Raw genomic sequence first — 18,830 nt, 5'->3', positions numbered from 1 at the left:
TGCAAGCTCCGCCTCCCGGGTTCACGCCATTCTCCTGCCTCAGCCTCCGGAGTAGCTGGGACTACAGGCGCCTGCCACTATGCCCGGCTAATCTTTTGTATTTTTTAGTAGAGACGGGGTTTCACTGTGTTAACCAGGATGGTCTCTATTTCCTGACCTCATGATCCACCCGCCTCATCCTCCCAAAGTGCTGGGATTACAGGCGTGAGCCACCGCGCCCGGCCAGTTGTAGTTATAACCATTATGAAGCTATGGAATGATAAAATTCAGTCAAGTTTCAATGCCAGAGTGAATGTGATCAGAGTAGTGACCTAGAGCTGGTTTGCGGTGTATTGTTTGATGAAAGAAAACTCAGGTAAGAAGAAACATTGGTAACATCTGGCACTGAGAATTATAGAACAAGGGCAGTTAAATGCAGTAGAGGTAACTGGGTGTGGGAAAACTGTTAACTATTAAGAGAGAGACTTGTCTAAGGCATGGGAAGGACCTCAGACCCTAGGAGCATGGTGGAACTTACCTTTCCAAAATACAATGAAGTAATTACTTCTCTGTTCATTTTTTAATTATCTGACATCTGTGTTTTTATGTTTATCTAGATTCTCCCTAAAGATAAGCATGAAGCTTAGAGCCCAGCCACCCTCAAAAAATTGATTAAATTGGACAGAACTCTGCTTTAAAATCAAACAGAGGTGAATCCAAATCTTGCATACTCCATCTATCATCTTTATATGCTTCGTAAGTTAATTAAATATACTTAGCTTCAGTTTCCTGTTCTTTCAAATGGACATGCAACTTAATTCACAGCAGTTTTAAGTATTATATAAGATTTGTTCATGAAGTCTCAGGTGACTGGCACACAGTTCAAGTCTTTTAAATGTCTATCTCTACAATACTATATATATGGTAAAATAATTGGTACCATGATACCCAAAGATGGACTGGTAATTTGTTTTAAAAAAGACTTGTTTGCAAATTTATCTAAATAATTTCATAGAACTGATGTATGTGTTGTCATATTATTACTTCAATGTATTTTCATTTTCAGACAGTCAGTTATTACAAGGCATGTATGTAATTATATTTTGAATCACAATTGATCTTTTCGATTTTTTTTCCTTCAATGTGTGTTTTCCTTCCGTCTGGGGAGCATTTGAAAATTAATTAGGTCAGGCAATACATATCACTGGTATAATTTTATAAAATCCAGTAAATAGCTTTATAAAACATTGTTATTTTTCTCATAAACATAATGTTCTGTTTGTACCCTCAGATTAATTTATTCATTCAGAATGACCTATAATGACTTTAATAATTTTAAAATCTCACTTGTCTTATACACCATGCATCTTCACTTTTCAAGTTTCCAGTCCTAGAAATGGAAATTGTTGAATATTAAAGTAGATATTTTGAGCTCATCTAAACATTTATAACCTTAAGATAACAGTTTCCTTTGTTTTTCTGATTTAATTATATTTACTTCAGTGATTCTCAAAGTGTGGTCTTCGGAGTAGCAGCATTAGCAACAAATGAGAAATTGTTAGAAATGTAAATTGGTGGGCTCCACCCCAGACTTGCTGAATCAGAAACTCTTGGAATTGGGACCAATAATCAGGATTTAGCAAACTTTTAAAGTGATTCTTATGCACACAAAAGTTGGAGAATGATGGTCCAGAGTATGTTTTTGACATATATTAGAGAGAGGGTGTGTGTGTGTGTGTGTGTGTGTGTGTGTGTGTGTGTGAAAGAGAGAGAGAAAGACAGAGACAAAGACAGATATGGTTACATGCAAAATACACATCTTGGTAATATGAAAGCTCACATCTATAATTTGAATTAGAGTATGAGAGCTTACATTTATAATTCTTACTCTCTTAATAGTATGTGTTACACAAATTGCAGTTTTTTAAACTCATTTTCTAAAATTTTTATGGTAGTGTAACATCTAAACAGAAAAATATACAAATCATAAATTTTTACAATATGAACATACCCATATAACAAATGACTTAGTTGCTTGAATAATTTTATGGACTGACAGTATAATAAGACCCATTGGGTCCAGGGCCAGGTGAAGTACAGTTGTTCTGGCTGATGGAGGAACTACCTGGGAAGGGAGACTCCCACTGGGTTGGAGGAACATAAACTGGCATAAGCAATGAAACTCACAGCTAGGCCTTTGGGGCCCTATGAGTGTCAAAGTTGTAAAGGCTGCATATGAAATTCTGTATTTTACAGTACAATTGACCCTTGATGCCTTGGCATCCATTTAGACCTCAGTGATGACTAAAACTAGACTAGAAAGAGGAGAAATGCCTCCCTAGGAAGTAAAGTAGGCATTTCACCAGAAGGAGATGGCCATGTGGTGAAGTGGTCACCAAAAACATGAACCTTAGAGGTGTTCCCAACTTTATGGCCAATGAAGGCAAATGAGGGAACTTTATGGCATTGGTGTAGGGATTGTATGTTCCCAGAAGGCTTGAACTCGGACTAATCGGTCACTGTGGAAATAGCGACACTAAACAGAGGATCTATTTATCCCTTTATAACTTAAATAAAAATTCCTTTAGGAGCCCATTATGCCTCTCAATTTAATGGGTTCTCTGGGTCCTATCAAGGAGATGAAAGTTCCATTGAATGTTTTTTTTCAAGAGCTAAGGACTATGTATTGTGAGAAGTGAAGCATGTGTCTTGGTCACTATCAGTAACATCTGCAACTCCAAATGAGGTAAGGAGAGACCTGATGAGGCATTTTATTATGGCCTTACCATATGTAGATACACCTGTACCTTTGGTTTACATTTTGGGCATCTGTGAGTCAAGATATTCCCCAGACTTATCTACTACAAAGGGAGTAAATCTTGGGAAATAGTCCAAGAGTTTGTAAAAATGCTTGGACGGATCTATTTGTTGGTCAGGGTATCCAGTGCTGAGATGAATGACTTAAGTTTGACCAATTGTGTTGATGCTAGGACCCTGCTCTTTATCAGGAACATCCTGATTAAGGGGATGGAAATGGCCACATTCTACTGGGCAACATCACTTATGATGGTGCTATTAATATAGTGCATGCCATCCATAAAGTGTATACCCTCCCTTGTTATCTACCCAGTTAATCCTAAGGGGCTCCCTGGGTAGCCAAGGGGTCTCGGGGAGGAATAAGCTCCTCTAGCACCATAGCACCTATCAAGGCACTTGAGGACAGGGGAGGCTACCCCGTACTGCAAGTAGAATATGTCAGAGGGCCCATATTTGCCTCCATATTGTAGCAAGCAGTCCTTGGTAGCAGTGTCAAGCTTGTGGGACACTACTTCATGACCCAGTGAATAATGGGTAGGAGGATATGTAGGGTAAGAGGTTCAAGGTCTATGAGAACCTCTATTTCCAGAAGAATATGTGGACAGCAGTTGCCACTCTAATGGTGTATAGTGCTGAGAAGGGCAGGTTCTTGTATCAGAAGCTCATGGGCCAACTGATGGCCTTGATAAGTGGTGCAAAGACTCCATGAGGCATAATAAAGGTTGCTGAAGCCACTGCAGTGACGTAGTCTCTGGTACCTGCTGATCTCAGTCTGGACTGATCATAGAGCCTTTTGTTGGAGGAAGATTTCTTTAAGGAGGGCCCATTTGTAAATAACAACATCAGTGAGATTAAGTAAAATTTTAAGTGAGGAAAATGTTGCCTCCAGAACCCAAAATGACTAAAGATGGTGGACTTATATATCCTTAGTGAGTGTGTCAAATAAATTTCTCCAGAGGGGGGTATCATTAATGTCATGCCATACCTCTGTTCCTGGAGAAAATTAGATGCAATGAAAAAGCTGCTGAAGTATCCCATGAGTAGTCTGGTAAAGTTGTACTTTGTCCCCTTAAAGGGGAAAGCAAACTGCAGCTAAAAGGGTACTGAATCAAACATATTAGCCAAATTTATAATTTTAAAATATTTATTAGTTGCTGATTGGATAGATTTAGTAATTTTAATAATATTGGATGTTGTTATGTGGATTTATTGGATTAGAGCAATAAATTTGAATTAATCTACTGTGAGGCACCACTCATTCTTTCTTTTGTCAGTTTAACAACAGTCAAAATTGGCCTGCTAAATGAAAAGAGCAGTAACGATAATTACTACTCCACTAATTAAAGTTTCATAGAATAAATTCCAATTATTGAAGGGTCTGTTTTAACTTATATTGGGGTCATATTAACAATTTTACCTGTGGGGTCCATTGGGTCTCATTATTTCAAGCCAATTTGTAAGTGCAAAATAATTAAGTCTAATATATTTATCATTCTATCAGAACATCTCTGTCCACCATAGGGTATTTTAGGGCAATGGATGCAATGACTATGGGAAATTTAGTCGAGTTAGTAGTTCTGATTGTTAAGGTAGGGCATATGTATTTAATTTCTATTTTATATTTAGTTAATCCTCTAAGACTATAGAGAGTATGAATATCATGCTTAAATTTAGTGGGACCAATTATGTTGATCTTTGGACCCTGCCCTTTATTGGGCACATCCTGATTAAGGGGATGGAAATGGCCACATTCTACTAAGCAAAATCACTCATGATGTTGCCATTAATGTAGTCTCTGGGTCTAACTAATTTTAGCCCCAACATTGATTAAGTTCATGAAGGTTTTCTATTTGGTGCATTTTGGCAAATTTTAAAGTTAATTCACACCTATGTGAAGATGCACAAAAGCTGATCAACACCCTTTCATATTATTTTGCTGTATAAGTTATTTTAGCAAGTTTTGGATTTCCAGTTGGGTCAAACTATAGACCTTTCATTCTAATTCTGTTGATTTCTTCTCCCTATGTTCTGGTTTCTTTCTTATCTTTATTTTTCTTCTTTCCTTTCTTTTTTTCTCACAGATATATCTGGGGGGAGGAGGTTTTTTTTTTTCCCTCTGCTTCTATTCATAAGTTTCTTCCACTAGAGAGCCTCAAATCAGTATCATCAGGACTAGAGACCTTTCCCATGACAATGGTTATATGGTTTAAGAATGCCTAACTAGTCAGTTTTGAATGAACCCTTTAACTGTGCTACAAGGATACCATAGGTGTTTTCCACAATGATCTTGAAAATTAGGACTTTTATTGCAAAAGAGCCATAAGTAGGGGACCGGTGCAGTTGAAGAGTTATAGGCCCACAATCCAGAGGCTGACAGATTAAAACCACCTTCTATTATGACTCCTGCCATTTTCTGCTGCACAGTCTTTCATCTTTTGGGTACCTAGCCATGTAGTTTCTGTCTCTATCTGATTATTCAAAAATCAGGTCTTCATTTGATCACTTATCATGCGTCTCTCTGAGTAGTTATAAGAAAAGAGGTGAGGGGGCAATAGAAAATTCTCCTACTCCTCTGAGAATGCCCCAGTCGATCTCTTCAGAAATCGGGTCCAGAGATAATAAAGCTATTTTGTCTATGGCTTAGATGAGGGCCACAAAGCCTTGTGATCACAAGATTAGCATTTTGTTTGCTGTTTTGCAGCAACATTGATCAAAGCCCAGGTGCACTGACCAGGAGTTTTACATTGGAGAACAGCTGAATAGCAAACTCTCCTCTACATGTTTTTTCTGATCAGTGTTGGAAAACACGATATTATGAATGTGTAACTTGATACCTTTGATGTTCAGGAGTGCACTCGTGAAAGCATCAAGGAAAGCAACAACAACACAGGAGGTGGGAAAGGACCCAACCTTTGCCTGAACAACAGTCACTCTTACAAGGAAATCAGAAAATCGTTCTTAATTCTTTTCTCATTGGTAACCAGGATTTTGCCTTTCTCAAGCACTTAGGAGGTAAGCACTGGGCTATGTGCATGTTTTGGGGAGGTATTTTCTCTACTAATGGATGGCCAGGTGATCACCCCAAATAATTTCTCATCAACAGCCTACATGCAATACACTGGAATCTTTATCCTTCAGGGCCTTGGCTTGATAGTCCACCAAGGGGGCAGCCAGTTCCAGACATGGTGTTCTTGTGGTCCCTACTACTAATGGCATATCAGCTTGCCATTGTCCATTATACAACCTTGTTGGTAGTCCCTCTGCCTTAGAATGAGTGGTGGAAGTCCCAGAGACCATCTGCCAGACACAGGCCCCACATGTTGTCATTTCATGCCAGCATACAACTAACAATAGCTATCTCCTCAGTAGTGAGAATGACGCTTTAGGTGGAAGGAGGTGCCAGTACTTGAGAGAAACCATAGAACACAATGCAAATCCAAAGTGCAAGCTGGCAGTTCCATCCCAGACAACCTTCACGGTATTAGGAACTTATTCTTTGGAAAAGAGCAGTTAATTAAATCTGTCCACATGTTCTTGGTCCTGACTGAGCCATTTGGTTTGTGAAATAAATTGTTCTGATCACCTACTGTTCACCCCATTGGTGAAAGAGGGATCCCATTCCCTAACAGTACAAGACTGTTGAACACAGACACCTGACACTAGACAGATGAGATAAACACCTGTTTATTAGTTACATCTGTTTACAATCTGTGGCAGTAGAAGACCACACACCATACAGAGCCACAAGGAGGGTGACACTGGGTAACAGAGTAAAAGAGAAGGCCTACAGAAAGCCTTCTTTCTAATAACAGGAGGACGGGGTGCTCCTTAGTCCCTGTGTAAAGATGTGATTGGCTTCTTTGAATAATTTTGCCGTTTGTCAAATAACTGAAACCTGTTAGGTCAAGGACTGAGTAGGGTGCAGCTGATTTGGCCAATGAGGAAACATTCCTGGTGGGAAACTTTCCCACTGTGTGGGGAGCCATATCAGGTTGGGAAAACACATGGCTAGGACTTTGGGACCCTGTGAAACTCAAAGATGTCAAAGTAGCACTTGAAATTATAGGACTGACAAAACAGAATGTCCTAATAAATTACCACGGACTTGGTGCTTAAAACAACAGAAATGTATTCTCTAACAGTTCCGGTGGCTTCATGTTCAACATCAGTATCACTGGGCAAAAATCAAGGTGTGGGCAGGATCACACTCTGGAGGCTCTAGAGGAGAATATTCCCTGTCCTGTCTACGTCTCGTGGCTGCCTGCATTCCTTTGCTTGTGGCTGCACTGCTCCAATTTCTGCCTTCACATTGCTTTCACCTATTCTGTGTGTGTGGTGGTTTAATCTCTCTCTGCATCTCTCTTATAAGGAAAGTTGTGATTGAATTAAAGGCCACACTGATAAACTAGGATAATCTCCCCTACTTCAAGATTCTTAACCTAATTACATCTGCAAAGGACCTTTCTCTTATAAAGTAACATTTAGAGATTCCAAGGATTCAAACCTGATATCTTTGGGTGGTCATTACTTATACTGCAAAAAATTTGGGTCATTTAAAAAATCTGTTCTAACAATCTCTGACTTTAAATTCCTGTGTGTAAACATTTACACTAATGTAATAATTGGTATGTTCAGATTTAGATATACCATTTTATTATTTGTTTTCTATTTGTTTCTTGTGATTTTTGTTGCAATATTTCCTTGTACTCTGTTTTTGGGGGTTATTTAAACATTTGTTCTTATTCCACTATAATTTATCTAATCTAATATAATTTTAACTGTATCACTTTGTATAATTTTCAGTGGTTCCTCTAAGGATTAAAAAATAAATACACACTTTTTACAGTATATTTAAAATCAATATTTTAAAACTGGAATTGGAACATTGATACTTTGTCATATTTAGGTCTTCTTAACCGTCCCCACTTTATGGTAAAATTTTTTGTAAACTTAGTTATCTTCTCTGATTGGCGTCATTAAAATAATAAGATTTTGAAACTTCTAATCTATAGATGATAAGCCCCTTACCATGGTCTTCTTTGATTTATCTCAAAAATGTTTTGTAGTTTTCAATGTAGCAAGCTTGCATATATTTCTTTAAATTTATTCAGAAATGTTTGATGTTTTATGATGCTATTATAAAAGGTGTCATATTCTTTTAAAATGTATGCTTTATTTAATTGTTACTCATATATTAAAAAACAATTTATTTATATTCACTTCTATGGAGCAAGCTTGCTAAATTTACCTGTGAATGCAAATAGTTTTCCTATAGAATCTCATGAATTATCTATGCACAGAAGTACATAATCTTCTAATAAAACCATTTAAAAGTCTTTGCCCTATTGTATTTTTATTCATTTTACTTATGTTTTCTCCTTGTTTTACTATGAATGATACAGTGGGCAAGTTTGTCCTTTTCTGGATCTCAAGAGATAATCTTTCAATATGTCTTCAACATATTACCTACTATTTTGTTTGTAGTAGTGCTTTACTGGGTTAAGAAAGCTTTCTTCCATTTCTTGTTCCCATAAAGTCATATATCATAAATGAGTGTTTCCTTTTATCTAATATTTTTGCATCTATTGAGATATGTATTTGGTTTTTCTGTTGTGGTTGTTGATGATGTAGTAAGGCATCCTTTTTTTAAATGTTAGACAACTTTATTATTTCTGAAAAAAATTATATTCATCATGATGCATGACCCAATTTATATATAACAAGTTTATATAGGTATTAGAGGAGCTAAATTTTATTTAGAATTTTGGCAACTATTTGAATAAAAAAGCTGATTTTCATACTTTGCTATATTCTAGTTGAGTTTTGTTATCAAACTTATTTTGACTTTATAAAAAGAGCTGATAAGCTTACCCTGAATTTTTTGGAAGAATTTATTTAAGATTGACATTTTTTTTAATATTTGGAAGTTGGAAGAATTCTCTGGTGAGTTCACTCTAGTCTATTTTGTTTATTGAAATTTTTTTGTAGTAGATTCAATTTCTTTCATGGGCATATGACCCTTCGCATTAATTTTTTTCTTGTATTAGCTACTGGAAGTTTTCTCTTGCCAGGTGTAGACTTTGTGAAATTAAATAATTCAAACTTAATGCTGTTAGAACTTTAAATTATCTGAGCTTTGAAGGAATGTGACTTAGTGGCCTGAGTCACCTAGCATGTAGTTGCAATTTCTGCTTCTCCGATTATGCATTAATTCCTCTCTTTATTCTTGTACTGTAGATGATTACAAAAAGCCAGAGCTAGATAGATCCACTTCAAGTCTATTACCCCTCTTTATGGAATGTTAAAGCAATCTTCCTTAGAATGCAGCAAACTGTAATCAATCAAATTTCTGTAATATATGTATTGGACTCCTGTGGATACTGTTGCAACCTTGTTAAATTCTTATATGTCTGCCTATATACGTAAAACCTTAACTTCTTCACTGACCCCATTTATTTGGATTCTGTGTTACCTGGGTTTTTATCCTCAAGCTTTGTGCTCAAATAAACTCTATCATATATATATACATAGCACAAGTGCAGATTTCTTACATGTATATGCTGCATAGTAGTGAAGCTTCTGGTGTACACATCATCGGAATAGTGAACATTGTATGCTACAGATAATTTTTCAACCCTCACCCACCTCTCATGCTCCCATCTTTTGTAGACTCCAGTGTCTATTTTTCTATTCCATATGTCCATGTATACAAATTGTTTGGCTCCCACTTATAAGTGAGAGCATACTGTGTTTAATTTTCTTTTTCTGGGTTTTTTCACTTAGGATAATGGTCTCCAATTCCATCCATGTTGCTGCAAAAGACACGATTTCATTTTTTTAATGGCTAAGTAGTATTCCATGGTATACATGTATAACGCATTTTCTTTTTCCGATCTTCCACTGATGGGCACTTAGGTTGGTTTTATATCTTCGCTATTGTGAATAGTGCTGCAATAAACCTAAGAGTGTGGGTGTCTTTTGATATAATGATTTATTTCGCTTTGGGTATAACCCCAGAACTGGGATTACTGAATCAAATGGCAGTTCTATTTTTATTTTGAGAAAACTCCATACTGTTTTCCATTAAGGTTATACTAATTTACCTTCCCACCAGCAGTGTATAAGCATTCCCTTTTATCTAAACTCTTGCCAACATTTGTTGTTTTCGGACATTTTAATTATTGCCATCTGAGTGATGGTATAAGATTGTATCTTATTATGGTTTTAATGTGCATTTCCTCAAGTTTTGTGCTCGAATAAACTCTGTACGTAATCATATTTTCTGAATCTAATTACGTTTGACAATTTCAACTAAATTTTTAAGTTTATTCACATAAATGTGTGAACAAATGAGTTTATAGTATCCTTTTAATATTTTTTTCTGTGTCTGTTGGATGCGTAGTGAGGTATATACATTTCTTTCTTCTCCATCAGTGTTGCTCAAAGTTTACCAATTTTATCCTCCTTAAAAAAAGCAGAGGCTCTGTTACTTATTTTATGTTTTAGGTTTTTTAAAAATTGTAGTTTTTGGACTTCAGGTGCAGATACATTTTTCTTTTCATTAATGCCTTTTCAGGCAGTCTCTTATTCAATTACTATTCCTTCCATAATTCAGTTGATTTAATCAAATATGCAAAGGACTTTAAAGGGAAACCTATCTTTTTTTCCTGCTGATAATTAACTTCTTAAATTACGTTTTAGTAGGTGTTATATGAATGTTGGTTTTATCGTGGTTATTAAAACTTATTATACCAAATGGTATAAAGTTTATAGTATAAGTTAAAGAAATATTAAATGTGTAACCTATTTTACAAGTATTATTGTTTTGTAATAATTAATTAATACCTTTATAGCACTGTTATTAGCTTACTTAAGAGTTTTCTTATGACTGAAATCACCACAGAGAAAAATCATAAATTTCTGATATTGAAATGTCAAAAATCTCTGTCAAATAGGATTTTTTCAGACCTCATGATTAAGAATCAAGGTTTGTAAATGAGACGTATGTCTGAAGTTAATATGCTATTTGCTTACAAAAGAAAATAAGTAGCAAATACTAACATTTAAACTTCAAAAGATAGAATATTAGGTTGTTTATGTGATAGCACTATATATTGGGATTCTATAACTCAATATCTTCTAGAAGCTGTTTTGTTCTATACTTAAGTAAAAGTAAATTTTAAAGCAATTTCAGTTTAATGAATGTAAGTGACAATACATAGAAAAATAATTTAACAATTTTTTTATTTAGAAATTAAGAATTTTTGAGATAATCTCATGCAATACAGTCACCTCAGAACATTAAGAAGCTAAAGGAGGCACTGTTCTTCAAGTTGCCCACTTGGATGTCTTCCAAGTGCACTTTCCTTTCTTTCCTGCTCTAAAGCTTTTTAATAAACTTCCACACCTGCTCTGAAAAAAAAAAAAAAAGCTAAGGGAGACAACTAGTCCAATTTCATTCATATAGTATACTTCTCATCAGCAAGTAGTCATTTATTCAACCACTATTTATTGGTTTTTTAATATGTGCCTGGCACTATGCTCAGCATTTTTATATATGGCATTTTATTTAATTTATTCCTCACATAAAATAGATTATAATGATTTGTGATGAAGAAAATGAGGCCAGAGGAGTTAACCAAATAGGATCACACCTTTGTTAAATCTCATAATTATTTCTACCAGCAAATATATTTTACTTTGCATTTTATCATACTCTGTGTGAATGTGTATAGATGATGATAATTAAATAGTATAAAACATTAATTAAATATTATTATTTAAGTCAATTGCATTGGTCAATCAATAATAAAACAGTAAATCTAAGCTGAGTTTCTGATGTTTCAAGACCACTTTTCTTAAGGACTGTGGTTTACAAATTGTAGACTGCTAAATGTAATTTAATTGACCGTTTCCTTCAAAGTGACCAAGTATTTACAATTGCCTGCTTTTTACCCTGTGCTTTGTCACCAACCTTTGATTAGGCTTCTCTTTCATCTTTAGGACCCTGAACTCTGCTAACTTGCAAGCCGGAACAAGCACAAAAACAAACAAACACAGTGGAATGTAACCTCTTTCCCTGGTTTTCCTGAGCATAGCAGGACAGTTTTTGTCAGAACGCATTGGTTATTTTCCCTTGTTTGTCCAACTTCTCCTCTAATGGTCGTGCTTATCTCTGCTTGTCTCCTTTTTACCCTATTAAGGAAAATCACTTTTCTGCTTGATTTTGAAATGTTCACAGAGTTTTTGAGATCTGGAGCAGTCTCCCATTGGAATAGTCTTTCTTTTTAACTGAAGTGTCCTCCTATCTAAGTACCTGTTTGTCTTTATCTGACAGAAGTGTAAAGAAGCCCTTGAAATTGTAAAGGGATTTTAAATGGCTTTAGTTTTGCTGTATTTATACTGTCTAGGGAATACAAACTATATTTTTCTAGGATAAACCGGAAGGGCAGATAGGAAAGAAATACTGGTACCAAAGTTGAAAAACAAAATTACAGCAAATGTAGTTATAGATCTAATTGGCTTTTGTTTGTGATTCACGAATAAAGGCAGCCTTTATTCTAAAAAAATAGAATGAGAGCTCTCAATGGACAATAGCAGAACACTGGATTCTTTAAATTGGGAGCAAGGAAACAGAACAAAGAAAAAGAAATCTAATTTGTTAACATCAGGTTACTTTTTTGTAATGAATAAAGCAGAGGAAATTTTCTTATTATTGACTGAGGTAAACTGGAATCTCTTTTCTTCAAGAAAAAAAAAAGGTCACTTTTGATATCCATTTGTTAGAGTAGGTAGCTAGTAAGGCATGAGCAGGGCAGGAGAGGGCCTATCCACAACCAAGAATGTCAGCAGACAATAAGGCGATGGTCAGGTGGTTGTTAATTGTCTCTCTGAAATAATAATTTGTCACAGCCAGTTCCAGGGAAAGGCAGTCACCCTATAGAAAAAAAAAAAAACTGAAATTGGTGATCAGCAGCTTCTGGATAAGATCTCAGGAGGTGAGCGAGTGGACTCAGACATGCGCATTAAGAGACAAAATGGCAGAGTTTAATGGTATATGATGTTTCAGGGGCATTCCACCAGCAAAGGGAAGAATGCCTTGGGAGAGCATGTGTACAAGTCCAGTAAACACACTGCACATACTCACCTCCCAAGTGCTAGCAGGCCACTACACATGCAGGTAGCTCACTTCAAGGGAAGAATGAAGGGAAAAGGGATGCAAGATGCTGGAAGTAAGCCAGCATATAAAACCCTAAGTCCAAAGTGAAATGGAGCACTTGTCCTCCAAGATGCCCACTTGGCCCTCTTCCAATAATACTTTATTTTAATTCCTGTTCTAAACCTTTTTCATAAACGTTCACTCCTGCTCTAAAACTTGCCTCAGTCTCTTTTATCTGCTGTATGCCCCTCAGTCAAAATCTTTTTTCTGAGGAGGCAAGAATTGAGGTTGCTGCATACCCATACAGATTCACCACCCGTAACTTGGATACCCTTCCCTGATAATACATCTGCTTCCTTAAAGTTTCAGTTTGACTAGTTTGCACTTAGCATGGGTCACTCCATTTTGGTTTGGTCTGGAATGTTGGTGCCTAGTGCAAGAGCTCAGCTCAAAACAATGGCCTCTCATAAGTTTTGTTTTACCTCAAATAGATAATTTCGAAGCTATGTGCTCATTTATTGAAGGTTTATGAGGTAAGAAATAGAAGATTCTCTTTTCTGAAAACAGCAAATGCTAATTTTATTTGCAGTTTCAGAAACACTTTTTTTTTTTTCTTTTGAGATGGGGTTTCGCTCTTGTTGCCCAGGCTGGAGTACAATGGCGCGATCTCAGCTCACGGCAACCTCCGCCTCCCGTGTTCAAGCAATCCTCCTGCCTCAGCCTCCCGAGTAGCTGGGATTACAGGCATGCGCCACCACACCCAGCTAATTTTGTATTTTTAGTAGAGACGGGGTTTCTCCATGTTGGTCAGGCTGGTCTCAATCTCCTGACCTCGTGATCCGCCTGCCTTGGCCTCCCAAAGTACTGGGATTACAGGAGTGAGCCACTGCGCCCGGCCCAGAAACACATTTTTAAAATCATTATAAATAACAATTATATGTGGCTACATAAAAATATGTCTACTATCAACCAAGAAATAAAATTAATTTCAAAACTTCATGTTACATGGGAGATTAGAATTTAAATTTTTTAAAAAAGCGAATATCTCCTTAATTACCTTTAACTATTGTTGTCCTGTATGTCAGTAAAAAGTAACTTTCTGAAAATATTTGAACAGATTTATTCTGAGCCAAATATGAGTGAGCGATGGCCTGTGACACTGCCCTCAGGAGATCCTGAGAACATGTGCTCAAAGTGGTCAGAGTACAACTTGGTTTTATACCTTTTAGGGAGACTGTGAGACATCAATCCATACATGTAAAACGTACATTGGTTTGGTCCAGAAAGGCAGGATAACTGGAAGTGGGGGCTTCCAAATCAAAGGCAGATTCACAGATTCTTGTCTTCTTGGAAGAAATAATTAAGTCAAGAGACATGCAGTAATAGATAAGCAGCAGCAAACTTACTTATTTAAAGGGACGGTACACTCTGAAAGCCAAGTCAGAGCAGGCTGCTCGAGAATGAGTGTCAACTGACACTGGGGAACCCTCTTTATATGAATCTTAAATAATTATTCATAGAAGTGGCATGACGTGGTGTTGCTAGCATGCATGTTTTGCGTGGCCCCCTGGGTGTGCATGTGCTATAACCATACATGCTAAGTGCATATGTCATATGTCTTATTAGCATGTTAAATCTCAACCAGGGTGTGTTTTAATTATTATAATGAAGAAAAGGTTACCTTTAAGGTGAGGCAAGTGGAAGTGCACATGCTCGCTACTGAGGAAAGTCCTCAGTATTTCCTACTGAAATTATTTACTACTAGGGCCAGGTAAGTTATTTCCTACTAGGCCTACTGAATTTTCCTACTGAAATTATTTCCTACTAGGGCCTGAAGTTATTTCCTACTAGGGCCAGGTAAGTAAGTCCCAGTTTAAGGCCAGATAATCCTAACCACAATTACATATGTGACTTTTTTTTTTTTCTGATTTTTTTAGTGGGGCACTGTTTGCTGGTGTGACAAAGTTTCCAGGGCTTCAGGTCTCCAGGGTTCCCTTTCATGCTCATGTCTACCTATCTGCCTGCTCTAGCAGATGTATTCTTACACATTTATCACTGGGGTTCCAATGAAAAATTAATGCCATGAATAAAGCATTGGTTGGAGAAAAAAATGACATGTTTTTAAAATAAGATTAAATGTGTTTCATAAAGTGTTAATTTTCTTATACGTGATTCTATATTATATATAAATTAGTTTGGTCTTTTTCTGGGAGTGAAAGGAATTCATATATTTTCTCTGTCAACACATTTTTAAAAATATATGACATGCACTGTTTATGCCCAAGTTATTTCATTATAAAAGTTTGAAACATGTTTTTAAAAAAATATCTTCATACTTTTTTCTTAGCATTGGTATTCTGAAGTAAGGGAAATAAAGTTTTGGGAAGATTATTAGTTTTAATCCACAGGATCGGCATGTATTTCTTAGAATAAAATTGTAAGATAGTATGATCAAAAAGCAAATACTTACAAAGCCTTATTTTTTCTTCTATATCCCAGTGTTTATGAGATCATGACCCAAATTCTCTTTTACCACTCATTATAGACCTAGTTAGTCCCATGTTGCTGGCATTCCAAGCTACAATCACAATAGCAGAAGGCGTGGCAGCATCTCAACTCTGAGAATAAAGACACAGGACCAAAATATCTATGGTTTTACCATTTTTTATATCAAAATATATGACTAACGCCAGAGGTCATACAAATTAAATATATTATTTTATTGTATCAAAACAGTGCATGACTAGAAACAAATCTACCGATTAGGAAAAAATATGGACTGGTATATCAGCTATAATTAATACAGTAATAATGAAAACGTGAATAATTAAAATAATAATAAAAACAAAAAGCAGAAGAAAATTGTATCTACATAGAAATTGAGTTTGTTAATACCTTTTATTAACATTGTTACATCCAATGAGAACACGTGAACACGGAGAGGAAAATCACACACGGGGGCCTGTTGCGGTGTGGGGGGCTAGGGGAGGGATAGCATTAGGAGAAATACCTAACGTAAATGACGGGTTGATGGGTGCAGCAAACCACCATGGCACGTGTATACCTATGTAACAAACCTGCACGTTCTGCACATGTATCCCAGAACTTAAAGTATAATAATAAAATAAAATCGATGAATTAAAAAAATCATTACAGCAAGGTAGAAGATGGTGAATGATATCAGAAGACAAAGCAGCAATGAACAAATGTAGGAACTATTTCAAAAATCCAAAGCTCCACTGCTTGATATTGGCACAGAATCTTCACAACAGTATAGAGTCAAATTAAAATAAGGCTTTATAGCAGCACTGATGTATATCTTGAAAGTGTATGTGTCGATCTAGCAGTAGTGATATATATCCTGAAAATGTACATGCCAATCTATGTTTAAAAGTACCTGTTAAAAACTAAGCTTCAAGAAGCCCTTAATTATCAAAGTGTCACAATTTAACATCCTGAACTTTGCACATACTCACAAGCATGCAGGTAAATGTGTACACACTCATACTTGTACAACAAACTTCAGCCCAGTATGACTATTAAACAGTATGCACACACACACACACACACACACACAAACATAGTACCTGACCACCTACAATTGCATACAACAAATTTTTTTTGATTGTGTTACCATTATAAGCAGCTACACATTTAAAGGATAATATTATCCAATGAACAGTCTGGATCTTCAGTGAGTGATTTCTTTATATCTGAAATGCATATTTTTACAATTGTTAGAAAATATACAATGACAAGAGAAGAAACAGGCAGGCACAAAGCCAGCAACAAAAAATTTTCATTGAAATTTATAACAAAGTCACTAATACGGCCCAATATATCTTAGAAACAAACAGGTTTAGTACTTTAATATAAATGCCAGGAGATTAAATAACTTTTTTGTTTAAAAGAATATACTAAATATTTTCAAGAGTAAAAAGTAGACCCTACTACTATAAATTTCAGCAAAATACAATGCCAAATTAAGATTGGGAACGAGATCTAAATTCTTGTTTAACACTAGTGACATGGCATGGTACACAAGTTTATTTTTTGGTTACTGAAAGAGGTTTGGCAAATGAAACAATGGCCTTGGTTTTTTAATTCATCAAGGACAATGCAGTGCATGTATATTTTGAAAACAAAAGGAAAAGGAAGTCCATAGAAATATGAGCTGTCTACAGAATTTTCCTTTAAAAGAGAATGTGATATTTCTTTTGGCACACAATATTAATTTATTTTATCACTGTATAACATGCTTTACTTAATTATTTAAAGATGCATTTCTCAAATGAGCACAAACTTCTTACGAACAAGAACTTCATAGACTGTTGGTGGGAATATAAATTAGTTGAGGCATTGTGGAGAGAAGCTTTCCAGTTTCTCAAAGAACTAAGAGTTAAACTACCATTCAACACAGCAATTCCATTTTTTGGTATATATGCGAAGGAAAATAAACTGTTCTACCAAAAAGACACATACACCAGCATGTTCATCACAGCACTCTTCACAGCAGCAAATACATGAAATCAGCCCATGTGCCATCAATGGTAGATGGGATAAAGAAAATATGGTATATATACACTGTGGAATACTACACAGCCGTAAAAAGAATGAAAACATGTCCTTTGCCAAAGCATGGATGTAGCTGAAGGCCATTATCGTAACCAAATTAGCAAAGAAACAGAAGACCAAATATTGCATATTCTCACTAGCAATGTGGAAGCTAAACATTGGGTATATGTCAACATAAAGACGGGAACAATAACACTACGATAGGAAAAAACAAAGTGGGGAGGGAAGGTGGGGGTAAAGGTTGAAAACTACCCATTGTGTACCATGCTCATTACCTGGGTCATGGATTCAGTCATACTCCAAACCTCAGCATCATGCAATATTCTTTTGTAACAAATCTGCACATGTATTCCTTGATTCTAAAATAAAAGTTAAAAACACAATAAAAGGACAATTGTATTTTTTAAAGTAGTGTTTTGGGGCCAAGATGGCTGACTAGAAGCAGCTGGTGTGTGCCACTCTCATGCAGAGGAGATACAGTGGTAAGTACAAACTAGTTCTTCATGTGAATTGTCCAGGAGGTCACATTGGCATTCATCAAGGAAGCATTGGTGACCTATGGAGAGCAGACAAGAGTGAGGCAGGACAGTCACCCACCAAGCACTGGCACAGAGGGAAGGGAGGCTCCCCATCATGGAGAGATGATCAGTGAGTGAGAGCTCCTGGAGACCCACATTTTGGCTATGGACTTTTGCAATACTGGGCACTTGAGAGTCCCCCCCTGACTCCCACCCCACCTGCCCCTCTCCCTCTGGGATCTCCAGAGTGACATAGAGAGCTGCATGGAATTTGGACAGACCTACCGCTTATGCCCCAGGAAATCCCAAGGGCCTCGGATTGCTGAGAACCCCATAACCAGCTGCCATAGCACCACCAACAAGGGAGGCCAGGCTATCTTGCATGCCTCCAGTACAGGAGAGGTATCCACAGTGCTAAGGAGTGGATAGACTGCAGGCCCTACCACCACTACACCTTGCCAGGCAAAGCCCACTGGCCTGAGACCCAAACACAACCACTCTACCCCTGCCTGAGGACTCCAGCAGGTCACAGCTCTCCAACTTTTCTGGGATAGAGCTCCCAGTGGTAACCTACAGGACCGCCTCAATTGCCACTGCCATGACCCCCATCCCGCAGGCTGGGGTGAGAACTACAAGCCCAAGAGCTGTCGTAGTCCGCCAGCATGCCACAGCTATGGAAAAGTGGCCAGGCAGTTTTCCACACAGGCCTCTGCCCCTGCTACCCTTCAATGGGCAGGGCCTCCTTACCTGCACCCCCAGTGCAGCTGCCATACAATCATCTA

At 36.8% G+C, this 18,830-nt stretch overlaps 1 long non-coding RNA gene across 1 annotated transcript in view; it reads left to right on the top strand.

The window, feature by feature from the left end:
• The window catches only part of LOC107985713 (uncharacterized), a 119,361-nt gene that overhangs the window by 40,728 nt on the left and 59,803 nt on the right, over window positions 1-18,830 (top strand). Inside the window, exons 2-3 of the long non-coding RNA XR_001755911.2 lie at window positions 597-735; window positions 5,644-5,808. This is a non-coding gene — a long non-coding RNA (uncharacterized LOC107985713). The remainder of the gene's footprint in view (window positions 1-596; window positions 736-5,643; window positions 5,809-18,830) is intronic.

The sequence above is a fragment of the Homo sapiens genome, chromosome X (assembly GCF_000001405.40).
Source record: "Homo sapiens chromosome X, GRCh38.p14 Primary Assembly".
In the NCBI taxonomy this organism is placed as follows: domain Eukaryota; kingdom Metazoa; phylum Chordata; class Mammalia; order Primates; family Hominidae; genus Homo; species Homo sapiens.
The sequence above is the reverse complement of the archived record's forward strand: the minus strand, read 5'-3'. Positions and strand labels throughout refer to the sequence as shown.